The sequence below is a fragment of the Homo sapiens genome, chromosome 9, assembly GCF_000001405.40.
Source record: "Homo sapiens chromosome 9, GRCh38.p14 Primary Assembly".
Classification (NCBI taxonomy): domain Eukaryota; kingdom Metazoa; phylum Chordata; class Mammalia; order Primates; family Hominidae; genus Homo; species Homo sapiens.
Genome location: NC_000009.12, coordinates 75,285,577 through 75,305,416, shown reverse-complemented (window position 1 = coordinate 75,305,416; position 19,840 = coordinate 75,285,577).

Genomic DNA, 19,840 nt, shown 5'->3' with positions numbered 1-19,840 from the left:
AATGAATAGTAATGCAATAATCCTCAATAAAATACCGGCAAACCAAATTCAGCAGCACATAAAACAGCTTATCCACCAAAATCAAGGTGGCTTCATCCCCAGGATGCAAGGTTGATTCAACATATGTAAATCAATAAATCTAATTCATCACATAAACAGAACAAAAGACAAAAACCACATGATTATCTCAATAGATGCAGAAAAGGCCTTTGATAAAATTCAACATCTCTCATGTTAAAAACTCTCAATAAACTAGGTATTGAACGAACATACCTTGAAATAATAAAAGTCATATATGTCAGACCCACAGCCAATATACTGAATGGGCAAAAGCTCGAAGCATTTCCCCTGAAAACCAGCAAAAGACAAGTATGCCCTCTCACCACTCCATTTAACATAGTATTGGAAGTTCTGGCCAGGGCAATCAGGCAAGAGAAAGAAAGAAAGCATATTCAAACAGGAAGAGAGGAAGTCAAATTATCTTTGTTTGCAGATGACATAATTCTATCTCTAGAAAATCCCATCATCTCAGCCCAAAAACTTCTTAAGCTGATAAGCAACTTCAGCAAAGTCTCAGGATAAAAAAATCAATGTGCAAAAATTGCTAGCATTTCTATACAACAACAACAGTTAAGCCTTGTGCCAAATCATGAATCAACTCCCATTCATAAGTCTTACAAAGAAAACAAAATACCTAGGAGTACAGCTAAAAAGGGAAGTAAAGAGCCTCTTCAAGGAGAACTACAAACCACTGCTCAAAAAAAATCAGAGATGACACAAACAAATGGAAAAAATCCCATGCTCATGGAGAGGAAGAATCAATATGGTGAAAATGGTCATACTGCCCAAAGTAATTTATAGATTCAATGCTATTCCCATTAAACTTCCATTGAAATTCTTCACAGAATTGGAAAGATCTTAAAATTCATATGGAACAAAAAAGAGCCTGAAGAGTCAAGACAATCCTAAGCAAAAACAACAAAGCAGGAGGTAACATGCTACCCAACTTCAAACTATACTACAAGGCTACAGTAACCAGAATAGCATGGTATTGGTACAAAAACAGACACACAGACCAATGGAACAGAATAGAGAACTCAGAAATGAGACTGCACACCTACAACCATCTGATCTTCAACAAACCTGAGAAAAAACAAGCAATGGGGAAAGGATTCCCTATTTAATAAATGGTGCTGGGAGAAGTGGCTAGCCATATACAGAACCCTGAAACTGGAACCCTTCCTTACACCATATACAAAAATTAACTCAAGATGGATTAAGATTTAAATGTAAAACCCAAAACCATAAAAACCCTAGAAGAAAATCTAGGCAATACCATTCAGAGCATAGGCATGGGCAAATGAAATGTTTCATGATGAAAATGCCAAAAGCAATTGCAACAAAAGCAAAAATTGACAAATGGGATCTAATTGAACCAAAGAGCTTCTGCACATCAAAAGAAACTCTAATCAGAGTGATCAGATAACCTACAGAATGGGAGAAAATTTTTGCAATCTATCCATCTTACAAAGGTCTAATATCCAGAGTCTACAAGAAACTTAAACAAATTTACAAGTAAAAAAAAAATTAAAATAAGCAAAGGACAGGAACTGACACTTCTTAAAAGAAGACATTTATGCAGCCAACAAGCATATGTAAAAAAGCTCAGTATCACTGATCATTAAAGAAATGCAAATCAAAACCATAATGAGATACCATCTCACAATGGTCAGAATGGCAATTATTAAAAAGTCAAGAAATAGATGCTGGCAAGGTTGTCGAGGAAAAGGAACACTTTTACACTGTTCATGGGAGTGTAAATTAGTTCAACCATTGTAGAAGACAGCATGGAAATGCCTCAAAGATCTAGAAGCAAAAATAGCATTTGACCTAGCAATCCCATTACGGGGTATATACCCAAAGGAATGTAAATCGTGATTACAAAGATACATGCATGCATATGTTCTCTGTAGCACTATTCACAATAGCAAAGACATAAAATTAACCCAAATGCCCATCAATGATAGGCTGGATAAAGAAAATATGGCACATATACACCATGGAATACTATGCAGCCATAAATAGGAATGAGATCATGTCCTTTGCAGGTACATGGATGGAGCTGGAAGCTATTATCCACAGCAAAGTAACAGGAACAGAACACCAAGCACCATGTGTTCTCACTTTTAAGTAGGAGCTGAACAATGAGAACACATGGACACATGGGGGGGAAAAACACACTAGGACCTGTCAGGGGCAATGGGGAGGGAGAGCATCAGGAAGAATAGCTAATGGATGCTAGGCTTAATACCTAGGTGATGAGTTGATCTGTACAGCAAACCAACATGGCACACATTTACCTATGTAACATGCTTGCTCATCCTGCACCTGTACCCCAAAACTTAAAATAAAAGTTGAAGAAAAAAAAAAAGGAAATCTAGAGGAAATGGATGAATTTCTGCATGCACACAAGATCCCATGATTGAATCAGGAAGAGATTGAAACCCTGAACAGGCATCAACTTTTAAAATTGAATCAGTAATAAAGAACCTACCAACCAAAAAAAAGCCCTGGACCAGATGAATTCACAGCTGAATTCTACCAGGCATACAAATAACTGATACCGGCCAGGCACAGTGGCTCGTGCCTGTAATCCTAGCACTTTGGGAGGCCAAGAGGGGCAGATCGCTTGAGGTCAGATGTTCAAGACCAGCCTGGCCAACACGGCAAAACCCCGTCTCTACTAAAAATACCCAAAAATATTATCCGAATGTGATGCCGGGTGCCTGCATTCCCAGCTACTCAAGAGACAGAGGCAGGAGAATTACTTGAATCCAGGAGGTGAAGGCTGCAATGAGCCAAGATCACACCACTGCACTCCAACTTGGGTGACAGAGTGAGACTCCATCTCAAAAAAAACTTAATAACTGATACTAATCCTACTGAAACTATCCCAAAAGAATCAAGGATGAGGGGTTCCTCCCTAAGTCATTTTATAAAGTCACTATCAGTCTGATGCCAAAATCTGGCAGAGACACAACCAAAAAAGAAAACTTCAGGCTAATATTCCTGATGAACACAGATGCAAAAATTCTCTACAAAATATTAGCAAACTGAATCCAGAAGCACATCAAAGAGTTAATACATCATGATCAAGTAGGCTTTATTCCAGGAATGGAAGGCTGGTTCAACATGTGCAGATCAATAAATGTGATTCATCACGAACAGAATTGAAAGCAAAAACCATATGATCATCTAATACACAAAGAAAAAGCTTTTGATAAAATCCAACATCCCTTCATAAAAACTCTCAGCAGACTAGGCATTGAAGGAACATACCTCAAGCTAATAAACGCTATCTATGAAAATCCACAGCCAACATTATACGAATGGGTAAAAGCTTGAACTATTTCCCTTGAGAACTGGAACAAAACAAAGAAGCTCACTCTCACCACTCCTATTCAATATAGTATTGGAAGTCCTAGCCAGAAGAATCAAGCAAGAGAAAGAAAGAAAAGGTATCTATATAGGAAGAGAGGAAGTCAAATTATCTCTCTTCACTTACAACATGATCCTACACTTAGAAAATCCTAAAGACTCTGCCAAAAGGCTCCTAGAATTGATAAATAACTGTAGTAAAGTTTCAGGATACAAAAATCAATAGCATTCCCTTACATCAACAACATCCAGGTTGAGAGTGAAATCAAGAACACAATCCCACTTACAGTAGCCACAAAGAAAATGAAATATCCAATGATACAGCTAACTAACATGGTGAAAGATTCCTATAGAAACTATAAAACACTGCTGAAAGAAATCAGAGATGACACAAATAGAAAAACATTCCACAATGTTGGATTGGAACTATCAATGTCATAAAAATGGCCATACTGCCCAAAGCAATCTACAGATATAGAGCTATTCCTATGAAACTGCCAGCATCATCCTTCACAGAATTGGGGAAAAAAACCTATTCTGAAATTCATATGGAACCAAAAAAGAGCTCAAATAGTCAAGGAATCCTAAGGAAAAAAACCAGAGGTATCACACTACTTGACTTCAAACTATACTATAAAGCTACAGTAACCAAAACGTCATGATACTGGTACAAAAACAGACATATAGATTAATAGAACAGAATAGGAAACTCAGAAATAAAGCTGAACACCTAAAACCATCAGATCTTAAACAATGCTGACAAAAACAAGCCATGGGGAAAGTACTCCCTATTTAATAAATGGTGCTAGGACAACTGACTAGCCATATGTAGGAGATTGAAGCTGGACCTCTACCTTTCACCATATACAAAAAATTAACTCAAAATGGATCAAAGATTTAGATCTAAGGCCTCCAACTACAAAAATCCCAGAAGACAACCTAGGACATACTCTTTTTGACATCAGCCTTGGAAAAGAATTTTTGGCTAAGTCCCCAAAAGCAATTGCAACAAAAACAAAAATAGGTAAGTGGGATCTAGTTAAACTAAAGAGCATCTGCATAACAAAAGAAACTATTCAACAGAGTAAACAGACAACCTACAGAATGGGAGAAAATATTCACAAACTATGTATCTGTCAAAGACCTAATATCTAGAATATACAGGAAACTTAAATAAAAAATAACCTCTTTTAAAAATGGGCAAAGTATATGAACAGACACTTATCAAAAGATGACATACAAGCAGCCAACCAACAAAAACGTGCTCAGCATCACTAATCACTCTGGAAATGCAAATCAAAACCACAGTGTGATACGATCTCACAGCAGTCAGAATAGCTATTATGAAAAAGTCAAAACACAACACGTGTTAGTGAGGCTTCAGAGAAAAGGGAACACTTATACACTGTTGATAGGAATGTACATTAGTCCAGCTACTGTGGAAAGCATTCTGGAGATTTCCCAAAGAACTTAAAACAGGCCGGGCATGGTAGCTCATGCCTGTAATCCCAGCACTTTGGGAGGCCAACGCGGGTGGATCACCTGAGGTCAGGAGTTCAAGACCAGCCTGACCAAAAAGAAGAAACCCCATCTCTACTAAAAATACAAAATTAGCCAGGTGTGGTGGCACATGCCTGTAACTCAGCTACTTGGGAGGCTGAGACAGGAGAATTGCTTGAACCCAGGTGGTGGAGGTTGCGGTGAGCCGAGATCTTGCCATTGCACTCCAGCCTGGGCAACAAGAGCAAAACTCCGTGTCAAAAAAAAAAAAAAAAAGAAAGAAAAACTTAAAGCTATCATTCAACACAGCAATTCTATTACTGGGTGTACACCCGAAGGAAAATAAATCAAGAAGACACATGCACTCATATGTTCATCACTATGCTATTCACAATACAAAAAAAACATAGAATCAACCCAGGTGCAGATCAATGGTAGTAGACTGGATGAAGAAAATGTGGTACCTATACACTGTAAAATACTTCACAGCCATAAAAAAAAAAAAGAATGAAATCATGCCCTTTGTAGCAACACAGATGCAGTTGGGGCAATTTGGAAGATTTGACTATAAATAATATTTCTATATCAATGTAAGTATGTAGTTATGTGGTTATATAGGAGACTGGTCTTGTTTCTAGGTGATACACGTCAGCATATTTAAGCATGTCCTATCATATCTGCAACTTTTTTGAAATGATTCAGAAAAAATGGTAAACAAATACATATATAGATAATGATATATAGAGAAATGGAACAAATATAATGAAATGTTATCTATTGGTGAATATAGGTTATATGAGTGTTTGCTTTATTCTTCTAAATTTTTCAAAATAAAAAGTTAGGACAGTGGAGAGGGAATCAGATGTAAGAAGTAATGACTTTTGAAGCTACAATGCAATGGTTCGCATTAGCATAAGTTCTTCTGACTTTCAGTCCAGGAGAGTGTACCACCTAGCGTGCTACTAAGTCATCAACTCCCCAAACATGCACATTGTACAGTTCTTTTGATCCTCCATGGTGCATTCTACATCATGGACTTCCAACAAAAAAACTGGTAGTATTAGGTAAAACAGCAAGTTTTCAAGGTTGTTCATGTTTTCAGTGCAAACTCTGAACCTGTAGTTTAAATTTTCAAGCTATCCAGTAAACTTCCAGGCCTGAATATTTTACATACCAGTAAGATAAGTCTTCATTTTGCAACTCAACTCCTATAACAAAATGCCTCTTTCACGCCAACTGCTGAGGTTTCCAGACAGGAATAGGTTTCCAGACAGGAATGAGTGTCCACACAGATGAAGCATGGAGAAATAAAAGGCTTTCCTTGATGTTAAAATAACATAAATATGTAAAGATATACATTGAACGGCAACATGTAAATTTCTTCTGTAGAGAGGCCCTATCTTATCTCTTTGGTCTCAGTGTGAAGGCTGGTACTAAACACTGTCAGGCTCACAGTAAAAATCTCATTTCACTATTATTTGATAACGAATCCTGTAGTGTTCATACGAAAGCAGCTGCCATTATGTAAATGTGGAACACAGGTAAAAACATAATATATGCCATAACACTTTTTTGTCACCATGAGCCTGTTTCTCCCACATTTAAAAAACATACTAGCTTGCCTCTGACTAAATTTAGCATGTAACTTTCTTAGAGCGTGTTTGGTGTTTTTCTTGGGGGAAAATACTTATTAATAGTTGGTCTCTCTTCTTCAAGCCCATTTGGCCACTGTTTTTCTACTATTTAGCCATGCTAACCATCACTTGCCACGATCACCTCCCTCCTCTGCTGATCACTGTTATCCATTCATCATATTAAGATACCGTGTTTTCTATTTTTCTGGACCCTTGTTCTACTCTTTCTCCTAATCTCTGCAACCTCCTTTTCTTTCTATAGCTGCTTCTAAGCTCTTTTCTATTTTTTTCTTTCTGCCCAGCTTACTTTGGTCCTTTCTTTTCCCATTCTTTTGTTCAATGGATCTATTCCTTGTTCGCATCATTGAGATCAGGTGGACTTGACTTCACCTCAAATGCATGTAAACCCATATATATTCATACATACCTTATCACACTTTATCTCCCTATTATGGGCTAAATTGTATCCCTGTCCCCAAATTTATATGTTGAAGTTCTAACCCCAATATCTCAGAACATGACTGTGCTGTCAGTGACATGTTTTGAGAAATGTGTCATTAGGCAATTTCATCATTGTGCAAACATCACAGAGTGTACTTATAGAAACCTAGACGGTATACCCTACTATATACCCAGGCTATATGGAATATAGCCTATTGTTCCTAGACTATAAATCTGAACAGCATATGCTTTACTGAATACTGCAGGCAATTGTAACACAATAGTGCATACTTGTGTATCTAAACATAGAAAATGTATAGTAAAATTGCAGTATAACTTTTTTTTTTTAAATAGCACAGCTGTATAGGTCACTTACCATGAATGGAGCTTGCAGGACTGGAAGCTGCACTGGGATACCGAGTGAATGGGAGGGCCCAGGACATTACTGTATATGGCTGTAGACTTCATAAGCACTGTACACTTAGGCTACATAATTTTTAAAAATTCTTTCAGTAATAAATTAACCATAGTTTGCTGTAAATTTTTTACTTTATAAATTTTTAAATTTTAACTTTGACTATTTTGTAATAATATTTAGCTTAAAACAAACACATTTTACAGCTATACAAAAGTATTCTTTCCTTATGTCCTTATTCTGTAAGATTTTTTGTTAAAAATCAAGACAAAAACACACACATTAGCCTAGGCCCACACTGAGTCAGGATCATCAATATCATTGTCTTTCACCTCCACATCTTGTCCCACTGGAAGGTCTTTAGGGACAATAGCACTCATGGAGCTGTCAACCCCTGTGATAACAATTCCTTCTTCTGGAATATGCTCTGAAGGACCTGCCTGAGGCTGCTTTACATTTAACTTCTTTTTTTATAAATAGAAGGCATACACTGTAAAATGACAGTGAAAATATAGTAAATTCATAAACTAGTAACATAGTTGTTTATGATCATTATCAAGCCTTATATACTCTACATAACTGTATGTGCTAGACTTTTATATGACTGATGGCACAGTAGGATTGTTTAAACGAGCACCACCACAAACAAGCAAATAATATATTGTGCTACATTTTGAGGATTATGATGTCTATGACATTTCTAGATAATAGGAATTTTCACCTCCATTATTATCTTACAGCACCACCATGGTATATGTAGTTGGTCATTGACCAAAAAGTCATTATGCAGCACATGACTATTTGGAGATAGGCTCTTTAAAGAAGTAATTAATTTAAAATGAGGTCATTAGAATGGGATCTAATTCAGTGATTGGTGTCCTTATAAGGGATGAATATTAGGACCAGACACACACAGAGGGGAGACCATGTGAAGACACTGGAAAATGATGGCCACCTATAAGCCAAGGAGAGAAGCTGCAGAAGAAACCAACCCTACCAATGAATTGACCTTGGACTTCCAACCTCTACAACTATGAGAAAATAAATTTCTCTTAAGACACCCAGTCTGTGATTATTATGCCATCACTAGAAAATTAATGCAACCCCCAGTTCTAACCCATAATATTCTCATTATGCTGTCAATATATGGCTAAATTGGCTCTCACTACTTTGTCCCTGGATTGTTCAATTCTAGCCTCATTTGTTGATACGGTCCCAGAGTTCTGTGCTGAGACCATGAGTCCTTATCATCCTACTTTGTGCTTTCCAACCTTACTATTCTATGCAGAAAGTTTCCCCTGAAGAATTCCTCATCCTTCAGGCCCCCTATCCAGGAAACCCTGAACAATTCCTCAGTGTTCTTTTCAACTCTACTCTGAAATTCTATAGCACATTCTGTTTAGCTTCCAGAGTGCTTACCCCATTTTAATGTATATGTGCTTTCTCTTTGTTTGTTTATTTGTTTGTTTGTTTTTGAGACGGAGTCTTGCTCTGTCACCCAGGCTGGAGTGCAGTGGCCTAATCTCGGCTCAGTGCAAGCTCCGCCTCCCAGGTTCACGCCATTCTCCTGCCTCAGCCTCCGGAGTAGCTGGGACTACAGGTGCACACCACCACGCCAGGCTAATTTATTTTGTATTTTGTACAGACAAGGTTTCACCGTGTTAGCCAGGGTGGTCTCGATCTCCGGACCTCATGATCTGCCCGCCTCAGCCTCCCAAAGTGCTGGGATTACAGGAATGTATATGTGCTTCTATCCACTACTGGGTTGTGAGCATTTGTGGGGTAGGGCCTAATGTCCTGTTCAAATTTGGATCCTGAGAGGGAGGCAGAGAAAGATGGGGAATAGAAGCCTACACCTTTTATCCCTCCTGCAGGAACAACAAATTGTAACAATTATCTGTATACAAAAATGTACAATAACAAGAACCGAAAATCAGGTGAGCAATCACGATACCTGGTTTTAACTTCATATTGCTGAAAGAGACATTAAAGAGGGTGAGAGAGACAGTCTTGAATCACTGACACCACCCCTCTCCCATCCCCCAGCAGTGGCCCCACAGCTCAGAAAGTCTGTGCACTTAGAGACAGAGCACTGCAAATGGAGAACTTACATTGAACTGTGTTGCCCTGTCACAGCTGAGAGGAGGGCAAAGCCATATATGACAGACACTCAGCTACTATCACAATGAATGGGGAAAAAGTGAAAAGCCTTTCCTCTAAGCTCTGGAACATGACAAGGATGCCCTCTTTCTCCACTATTATTCAACATAGTACTGGAAGTACTAGCCAGAGCAATCAGACAAAAGAAAGACATAAAGGGCTTCCAGAAAGGAAAGGGAGAAGTTAAATTACCCTTGTTTGCAGATAATAAAATCTTATATTTTGAAAAACCCAAAGACTCCACCAAAGAAACTATTGGAACTGATCAACAAATTCAGTAAAGTTGCAGGATACAAAAATTTACATACAAAAATCAGTAGCATTTTTATATGCCAATAATGAACAATCTGAAAAAGAAATCAAAAAAGTAATTCCCTTTACAAAGGCCACAAATAAAATTAGGTACCTAGGAATTAACCAAATAAGTGAAAATATCTCTACAATGAAAAACTATAAAACACAGATGAAAGAAATTGAAGAGGACACCAAAAAAAGAAAAGATATTCCATGTTCATGAATTGGAAGAATCAGTATTATTAAAATGTCTATACTACCCAAAGCAATCTACAGATTCAAATGCAATCATTATCAAAATACCAATGACATTCTTCACAGAATATAAAAACCAATCCTAAAATGTATATAAAACTACAGAAGACTCAGAATAGCCACAGCCATCCTAAGGAAAAACAAAACAAAACAAAACTGTAAGAATAATATCACCTGACATCAAACTATACTACAGAGCTATAGTACCCAAAGCAGCATACTCCTGGCACACAGACCCATAGAACAGAATAGAGAACCCAGAAACAAATCCACACACCTACAGTGAACTCATTTTTCACAAAGTTGCCAAGAAAATACACTGGAAAAAAGACAGTCTCTTCAATAAACGTGCTGGGAAAACTGAATGTCCATATGTAGAAGAATGAGACTAGACCCCATCTCTTGCCATATACAAAAAAAAAAAAAAGACTTAAACTTAAATCTAAGACCTCAAACTATGAAACTACTACAATTAAACATTGGGGAAAATCTCCAGAACATTGGTCTAGGCATAGATTTCTTGAGCAATAATATCCCACAAGCACAGGCAACCAAAGCAAAAATGGACAAATGAGATCACATCAAGTTAAAAAAGCTTCTGCACAGCAAAGGATACAATCAACAAAGTGAAGAGACAACCCACAAAATGGGAGTAAATATCTGAAAACTACCCATGTGACAAGAGATTAATAACCAGAATATATAAGGAGCTCAAACAAATCTATAGAAAGAAATACAATCTGATCAAAAAATGGGCAAAAGGTCTGAGTAGATATTTTTCAAGAAGACATATGCAATCAAAGCTATAATTCAATATCATCTCATTTTGGTTAAAGTGGCTTCTATCCAAAAGATAGGCAATAACAAATGCTGACAAGGATGTGAAGAAGAGGGACTCCTTGTACACTGTTGGTGGAAATGTAAATTAGTACAACCACTACAGAGGGCAGTTTGGAAGGTCCTCAAAAAACTAAAGATTGAGCTACCATATGATCTAGCAACCTTACTGCTGGGTATATACCCCCCAAAAAGGAAATCAGCATATGGTTTAGCTGTGTCCCCACCCAAATCTCATCTTGAATTCCCACATGTCATGGGAAGGACATGGTGGGAGGTAATTGAATCACGGGGGCAGGTCTTTCCCATGCTGTTCACATGATAGTGAATAAGTGTCATGAGATCTGATGGTTTTATAAGATGGAATTTCCCTGCACAAGTTCTCTCTTTGCCTGCTGCCATTCATGTAAGATGTGACTTGGTCCTCCTTGCCTTCCACCATGATTGTGAGGCTTCCCCAGTCATGTGGAACTGTAAGTCCAATTAAACCTCTTTCTTTTGTAAATTACCCACTCTCAGGTATGTCTTTATCAGCAGCATGAAAACAGACTAATACAGTATATTGGTACTGGGAGTGGAGCACTGCTGAAAAGATAACTGAAAATGTGGAAGTGACTTCAGAACTGGATAACAGGCAGAGGTTGGACCAGTTTGGAGGGCTTAGAAGACAGAAAAATGTGGGAAAGTTTGGAACTCCCTAGAGACTTGTTGAATGGCCTTGACCAAAATGCTGATAATGATATGGACAATAAAATCCGGGCTGAGGAGGTCTCAGATGGAGACAAGGAATTTGTTGGGAACTAGAGCGAAGGTGACTCTTGCTATGTTTTAGCAAAGAGACTGGTGGCATTTTGCCCCTCCCCTAGAGATTTATGAAACTTGGAACTTGAGAGATGATTTAGGTTATCTGGCAGGAAAAATTTCTAAGCAGCAAAGCATTCAAGAGGTGACTTGAGTGCTATTAAAGGCATTCAGTTTTAAAAGGGAAACAGAGCACAAAATTTTGGAAAATTTACAGCCTGATGAGGAGACAGAAAAGAAAATCCCATTTTCTGAGAAGAAATCCAAGCCAGCTGCAGAAATTTGCAAAAGTGACAAGAAGCCAAATGCTAACCCCCAAGACCATAGGAAAATGTCTCCAGGGCATGTCAGAGGTCTTCACAGCAGCCCCTCCCATCATAGACCAGGAGGCCTAGGAGGAAAAAGTAGTTTCATGGGCCGGGCCTAGGGTCCCCGTGCTGTGCGCAGTCTAGGGACTTGGTGCTCTGCATCCCGGCTGCTCCAGCACTGGCTGAATGGGGCCAACATGGAGCTTGGGCCATGGCTTCAGAGGGTGCAAGCCTTAAGCCGTGGCAGCTTCCCTGTGATGTTGAGCCCACAGATGCACAGAAGTCAAGAATTGAGGTTTGGGAACCTCCACCTAAATTTCAGAGGATATATGGAAATGCCTGGATGCCCAGGCAGAAGTTTCCTGCAGGGTCAGGGCTCTCATGGAGAACCTCTGCTTGGGCAGTGCAGAGGGAAAATGTGGAGTAGGAGCCCCCATACAGAGTCCCGACTGGGGCACTGCCTAGTGGAGCTGTGAGAAGAGGGCCACTGTCCTCCAGACCCCAGAATGCTAGATCCGCTGACAGCTTGCACCATGCACCTGGAAAAGCTGCAGACACTCAACGCCAGCCCATGAAAGCAGCTGGGAGGGGGGCTATACCCTGCAAAGCCACAGGGGAAGAGCTGCCCAAGACCATGGGAACCCACCTCTTGCATCAGTGTGACCTGGATGTGAGACATGGAGTCAAAGGAGATTATTTTGGAGCTTTAAGATTTGACTGCCCTGCTGGATTTCAGACTTGCATGGTGCCTGTAGCCCCTTTGTGTTGGCCAATGTCTCCCATTTGGAATGGCTGTATTTACCTAATGCCTGTGTCCCCATTGTTTCTAGGAAGTAACTAACTTGCTTTTGATTTTACAGGCTCATAAGCAGAAGGGACTTGCCTTGTCTCAGATAAGACTATGTGGACTTCTGAGTTAGTGCTGAAATGAGTTAAGACTTTGGGGGACTGTTGGGGAGGCATAGTTGGTTTTGAAATATCAGGACATGAGATTTGGGAGGGGCCAGAGGTTGAATGATATGGTTTGGCTGTGTTACCACCCAAATCTCATCTTGAATTCCCACATATCATGGGAGGGACCCAGTGGGAGGTAATTGAATCATGGGGTCAGGTTTTTTCCATGCTGTTCTCATGATAGTGAATAAGTCTCATGAGGTCTGATGGCCTTATACAGTGGAATTTCCCTGCACAAGCTCTCTCTCTCTCTGCCTGCTGCCATCCATGTATGACATAACTTGCTCCTCCTTGCCTTCCACCATGCTTGTGAGGCTTCCCCAGCATGTGAAACTAAGTCCAATTAAACCTCTTTCTTTTGTAAATTTCCCAGTCTCAGGTATGTCTTTATCAGCAGCATGAAAACAGACTAATACAGAAGCAATATCTTCATTCCCATGTTTGTTGCAGTACTGTTCACAATAGCCAAGATTTGGAAGCAACCTAAATGTTTATCAACAGATGAGTGGATGAAGAAAACATAGTATTTACACACAATGAAGTACTATTCAGCCATAAAAAGAATAAGATCCAATCATTTGCAACAACATGGATGGAACTGGAAGTCATTATGCTAAGAGAAATAAGCCAGGCACAGAAAGACAAATGTTGCAGGATCTAATAATCAAAGCAATTGAACTCATGGACACAGAGTGTAGAAGGATAGTTACCAGAGGCTAAGAAGGGTAGCAGGAGGGTGGGAGAAGAGGTGGGGATGATTAATGAATACAACAAAATAGAGACAATGAATAAGACCTAGTAGTTGATAGCACAACAGGGTGACTATAGTCAATAATAATTGTACATTTAAAAGTAACAAAAAGAGTATAATTAGATTGTAACACAAAGGATAAATGCTTGAGGGGAAGGATACTTCATATTCCATGATGTAATTACTATACATTTCATGCATGTATCAAAATATCTCATGTACCCCATAAACATATACACCTATGCACCCACAAAAACTAAAAATAAATTTAAAAAAAAAGAAATGTGGATCCTCTAACATGTTTTCATTTCTTTTCGTAAAGTAAGTGTGCTATACATGACTGCTTAATTATTGACCATATTTCTTCATGGTGACTCACAAAATGCATGTTTCCAATTGCCCAGATGGTGATCCAGAAATATATATTAAAAACCAAAGTTGAAAGAATAATCTGTTAAAGATGCCATGCTTTTAATATGTAAACTAATCAAAAGATCCAAAAGACTTATCAAAAGATAATAAGGCCTATGTTTTAGAAAAGAAACTGACCTTTTTTCTGACTTACTTTCATTTCAGAACAGACGCATCATCCTTCATTTAGAAACAGAATGCCTGTAAAGCTTTCGTGAACTTTTGTTTCCTATCCATCTTGGCTTGGGTTCTCCAGAAAAGTCTCTGAGATGAAATTTCAAGTGCAAGTGATTTATTTGGGAAGTCAGGGGAAACACAGGGGAGTTGAGAAGGGAGGTGAGAAAGAAATGGAAAGGACCTAATAAAGGGTGCAGTGTCAAGGCAGCTGGCACACTGAGATTGGCGCTTAATTCTGCTGGGCCAACTCTGCAAACCAGTGTAAAAATGCCTCAGTTATGCCACCCAAGGACAAGGGAGCTGGGATATCTGTATCTCTACTCCAATCAGTTCAGGTTAAGGGCTACTCCCAGGTGTCTATTAATTTCCAGGTACTTCCCAACGTTTTGGGGGTGGAAAGCAGAATTCAGTGGCCCCAAAAAAAGAAAAGAAAGGCCTCAGATAATTGAGTGCTGTTGAAGAGAGCTAGTGTGCCCTGAAGCAGCAACAGGGAGGAAATATGGGCAGAGCATCAATGTTATCTGCTAGTTTCACTTTGAGTATTTAATAAATAGTCTTTCATTCATTCATTCATTCAACAAATGACTACGTGACATCTGTGTATGGTTCAGGCACTGGGCTGGGTGCTGGGGAAGAGTGGTGAGCAAAAGCAGACATGGTATTCACATAAATATAGCCTATATCCTAGTGGAAAAAAGCAGATAATAAACACATACATCAGCAAATAAGATCATTACAGACTGGGATAAGCAATTTAAAGGAAAGAAACAGGGTGTTATAATAAAGAGTAATTGACATAGAAACAAACTCAGGAAAGTCAAAAAAGACGGGTTCCAAAATAAGGAGACTGTAACAGATTAAGAAAAGACTAGTTTTCTTGTTTCAAAAGAAAACTAATACAGATCCTCTCTCGCTAGGTAAGTGAAACTTTATAGAGACCCAGACTCCCTTGGTGTTATAATCAGAAGTAAGTCATGATAATATCTAAGGCCAGTGGGAAGGAAAAACAGTCTCAACCAAAGATGACAGTAGTAATACTGACGCACAGAAAAGGGATACTAGATGGCGATATTACTGGATAAAGCTCCAGTAGAGATATTTCTATCCAGCAAAAGCAGTTTCCTACAGCCCTCCAACATTATTTCTCTTTAAAAATCTTTTGAGCAGGTCACAACCATCTTTGTTAATCCTAGGTAAATGGTATAGCCACAATTCTGAATGTTTTAAAACCCAGGATCTACTCTGTAAGAAGTCTCAAAGTTGATCCCAAGTGAATTACTTAGACCCAGGCGAACCTGACATCCTGAGGCACTGATGTGCTGTTTGGTAGTTTAATACTCATCACTATGCTCATTAAATTAAATCAACATTTTGGTGGTCTGCATGTCTACACAGAAGTTTAGTAATTATTGTTGCCTGAAAAAATATAGACTTCATCTTTCTCAAGCCAGATGAAACACTACCAGGTTATTGAGAATTATTTTTACCTTTAAAAAACTTGTAGCTGATTTGCTGAATAAGCATGTAGATAAGTATATCTATATAGGGAAACAGAAAGTAGGGAAATATGTTCTTCTTCTTCTGGAGGTTGGAATAAAAATCAATCTTATACTACAGTGGGTCAAGGGATGCTGAAAGCAATGAAATTTCTTCTTACTTAAAAACAGACTTTGTTGCTCAGTGGTTCTAACACAGTTTCTTCCTGTATCCTCAGAGGGCCCCATTGGTTTTCTCAATAGGATGGTTCAAAGGGTGGAGATCAGCTCCAAAGTATCTGTTCTCATTATGTTATCAGGTATAAGACTCAGCTCTGCCTTTTATCAACCCAAATGGTAGAACTATCCCAGAACTTCAGTTTGTGAAGACTGAAGTCTTTGTTGGAGACAACACATAACAGAAGAGAAGACCCAGAGATGAAACTCAACTCTGTCACTTGAGTTAAGCAGCCTTGGGCCTGTCATTTTCATTCTGTTTCTTCATCTGTAAAATATATCAATAATAATGCAATATTAAATAAAAATGCAAATTTTGGGGGGACCAAGTATAATAAATTAGTCTAGTTCCTTGTCCAGTGCAAAAAGTTACACTATGAACATTTGTTGAATAAATGTTGAAAGACAACCACTTTGGACAAACATTTACATTTATTTCCAAAAGAATTCTAACCACACTTTTTTTTCTTAATGCTACAAAATAGAGATAATAATTCAGTTTTATATGAGTATGAATCCATCTGTGTCTACACTCAAACCCACCATGCTCAGGAGATCTTCAGTATTGTCTATTGCTTCCTGTATCCACTGTCTGCCTGGATATTGCCTATCCATTTGTGGTAAGCAGCCTCTAAGAAGATCCCCAGTGGTTTTTGTCTCCGGTATTCATACCATTGTACAGTTCCCGCCCACAATGAGGCCACAATCAAACTCTCAAAGTCATCAAATAGGATAAAAAAAAATCCAAAGGTCAGTGACCTCAAAAACTAAACATAGATAAGCCCACAAAGATGAGAAAGAAACAACTTAAGAACCCTGAGAACTCAAAAAGCCAGACAGAATGCCTTCTTTCCTCCAAATGACCACATCACCACTCCAGCAAGGATTCTGGACCAGGCTGAGATGGCTGAAATGACAGAAATCAAATTCAGAATATGGATAGGAAGAAAGACCATTGAGCTACAGGATTATGTAGAAACCCAATGCAAGGAAACTAAAAATTATGATAGAACAATGCAGGAGCTGAAATACAAAATAGCCGATATAGAAAAGAACATAACCAACCTGATAGAAATGAAAAACACAATACAAGAATTTCATAATGCAATCACAAGTGTTAATAGCAGAATAGACCAAGTGAAGGAAAGAATCCCAGAGCTTGAAGACTGGCTTTCTGAAATAAGACAGACAAAAATAGAGAAAAAATAATAATAAAAATGAATAAACAAATCCTCTGAGAAATATGGGATTATGTAAAGAGACAATTCAGACTCATTGGTGTCCCTGAAAGGGAACCAACTTGGAAAACATACTTCAGGATATCATCCAGGAAAACTTCTCCAATCTAGAGAGGCCAACATTCACATATAGGAAATGCAGAGAACCCTAGTAGGATATTTTACAAAAGGATCATCCCAAGGACACGTAATCATTAGATTCTCCAAGGCCAAAAAGAAAGAAAAAATGCTAAAGGCAGCTAGAGAGAAAGGTCAGGTCACCTACAAAGGGAAGAACATCAGACTAACTGCAGACCTCTCAGCAGAAACCCTAAAAGCCAGAAGAGATTGGGGGCCAATTTTCAATATTCTTAAAGAGAAGAAATTCCAACCCAAAATTTCATATCCAGCCAAACTAAGCATCTTAAGTAAAGGAGAAATAAGATTCTTTTCAGATAAGAAAATGCTGAGGAAATTTGTTACCACCAGACTTGCCTTACAGGAGAGCTCCTGAAGGAAGAACTAAATATGAAAAGGTCATGTCACCTACAAAGGGAAGGCAACAGACTAACTGCAGACCTCTCAGCAGAAACCCTACAAGCCAGAAGGGGGAGGGGGCTGCCAATATTCAACATTCTAGAAGAAAAGAAATTCCAACCCAAAGTTTCATATCCAGCCAATATATGCTTCATAAGTGAAGGAGAAATAAGATTCTTTTCAGACAAGAAAATGCTGAGGAAATTTATTACCACCAGACTTGCCTTACAAGGAAGAACTAAATATGGAAAGGAAAGACTGTTACCTGCCACTACAAAAACACACTGAAGGACACAGACCAGTAACACTGAAGTAACCACATAAACAAGTCTGAAAAATAACCAGCTAACATCATGATGACAGGATCAGATCCACACATATCAATAACAACCTTAAATGTAAATGTGCTAAATGCCCCAATTAAAAGACACAGAGTGGCAAGCTGGATAAAGAACCAGGACTCATTGGTATGCTGTCTTTAAGAGACCTACCTCACATGTAATGGCACACATAGGCTGAAAATAAAGGGATGGAGAAAAATCTGCCAAGCAAATGGGAAACAAAAAAACAAGGGTTGCAATCCTAGTTTCTGACTAAAGAGACTTTAAACCAACAAAGTTTTTTTAAAAAGGCAAAGAAGGGTATTACTTAATGGTAAATGATTCAACTCAATAAAAAGATTTAACTAACCTAAATATATATGCATCTAACACAAGAGCACCCAGATTCATAAATCAAGTTCTTAGAGACGTTCAAATACATTTAGACTGCCACACAATAATAGTGGGAGACTCTAACACCCCACTGACAACATTAGACAGGTCGTCAAGACAGAAAATTAACAAAGATATTTAAGATCTGAACTCAGCACTGGATCAAATGAACCTGATAGATATGTATAGAACTTGCCACTGAAAACAACAGAATATATATTCTTCTCATTGCCATGTGGCACATACTCTAAAATCAAACACATAATTCAAAGTAAAACACTCCTCAACAAATGCAAAAGAACTACACTATGCTTCTCTTGAACCACAGTGCAATCAAATTAGAAATCAAGATGAAAAATTCACTCAAAACTATGCAATTACATGGAAACTGAATAACCTGCTCCTGAGAGACTACTAGGTAAATAATGAAATTAAGGCAGAAATAAATAAGCTCTTTGAAACCAATGAGAACAAAGACACAACATACCAGAATCTCTGGGACACCGCTAAAGCAGTGTTAAGAGGGAAATACATAGCACTACATGCCCACATCAAAAAGTTAGAAAGATCTTAGCAACCTAACATCACAACTAAAAGAACTAGAGAACCATGAGCAAACAAATTTGAAAGCTAGAAGACAAGAAATAACCAAAATCAGAGATGAAGTGAAGGATATTGAGACATGAAAAACCATTCAAAAGATCAACAAATCCAGGAGCTTTAAAAAAAAAAATTAAACAGACCACTAGCTAGACACACACAAAAAAGAGAAGATTCAAATAAACCCAATCAGAAATAACAAGGTGGATATTACCATGACACCACCAAAATACAAACCACCAGCAGAGAATATTATGAACACCTCTATGCACACAAACTAGAAAATCTAGAAGAAATGGGTAAATGCCTAGATACATGTACCCTGCCAAGACTGAACCAGGAAGAAACTGATTCTCTGAACAGATCAGTAACAAGCTCTGAAATTGAGTCAGTAATAAATAGCCTACCAACCAAAAAAGGCCCAGGACCAGATACATTCACAGCTGAATTCTACCAGATGTACAAAGAAGAGCTGGTACCATTCATGCTAAAACTATTCCAAAAAAAAATACAGAGCAGGGACTCCTCCTCAACTCATCCTATAAGGCTAGCATCACCCTGATATCAAAACCTGGCAGAGATTTAAAAAAATAAGAGAAAAGAAAACTTCAGGCCAATACCCTTGATGAATATCAATGCCAAAATTCTCAACAAAATACTGGAACACCAAATCCGGCAGTATATT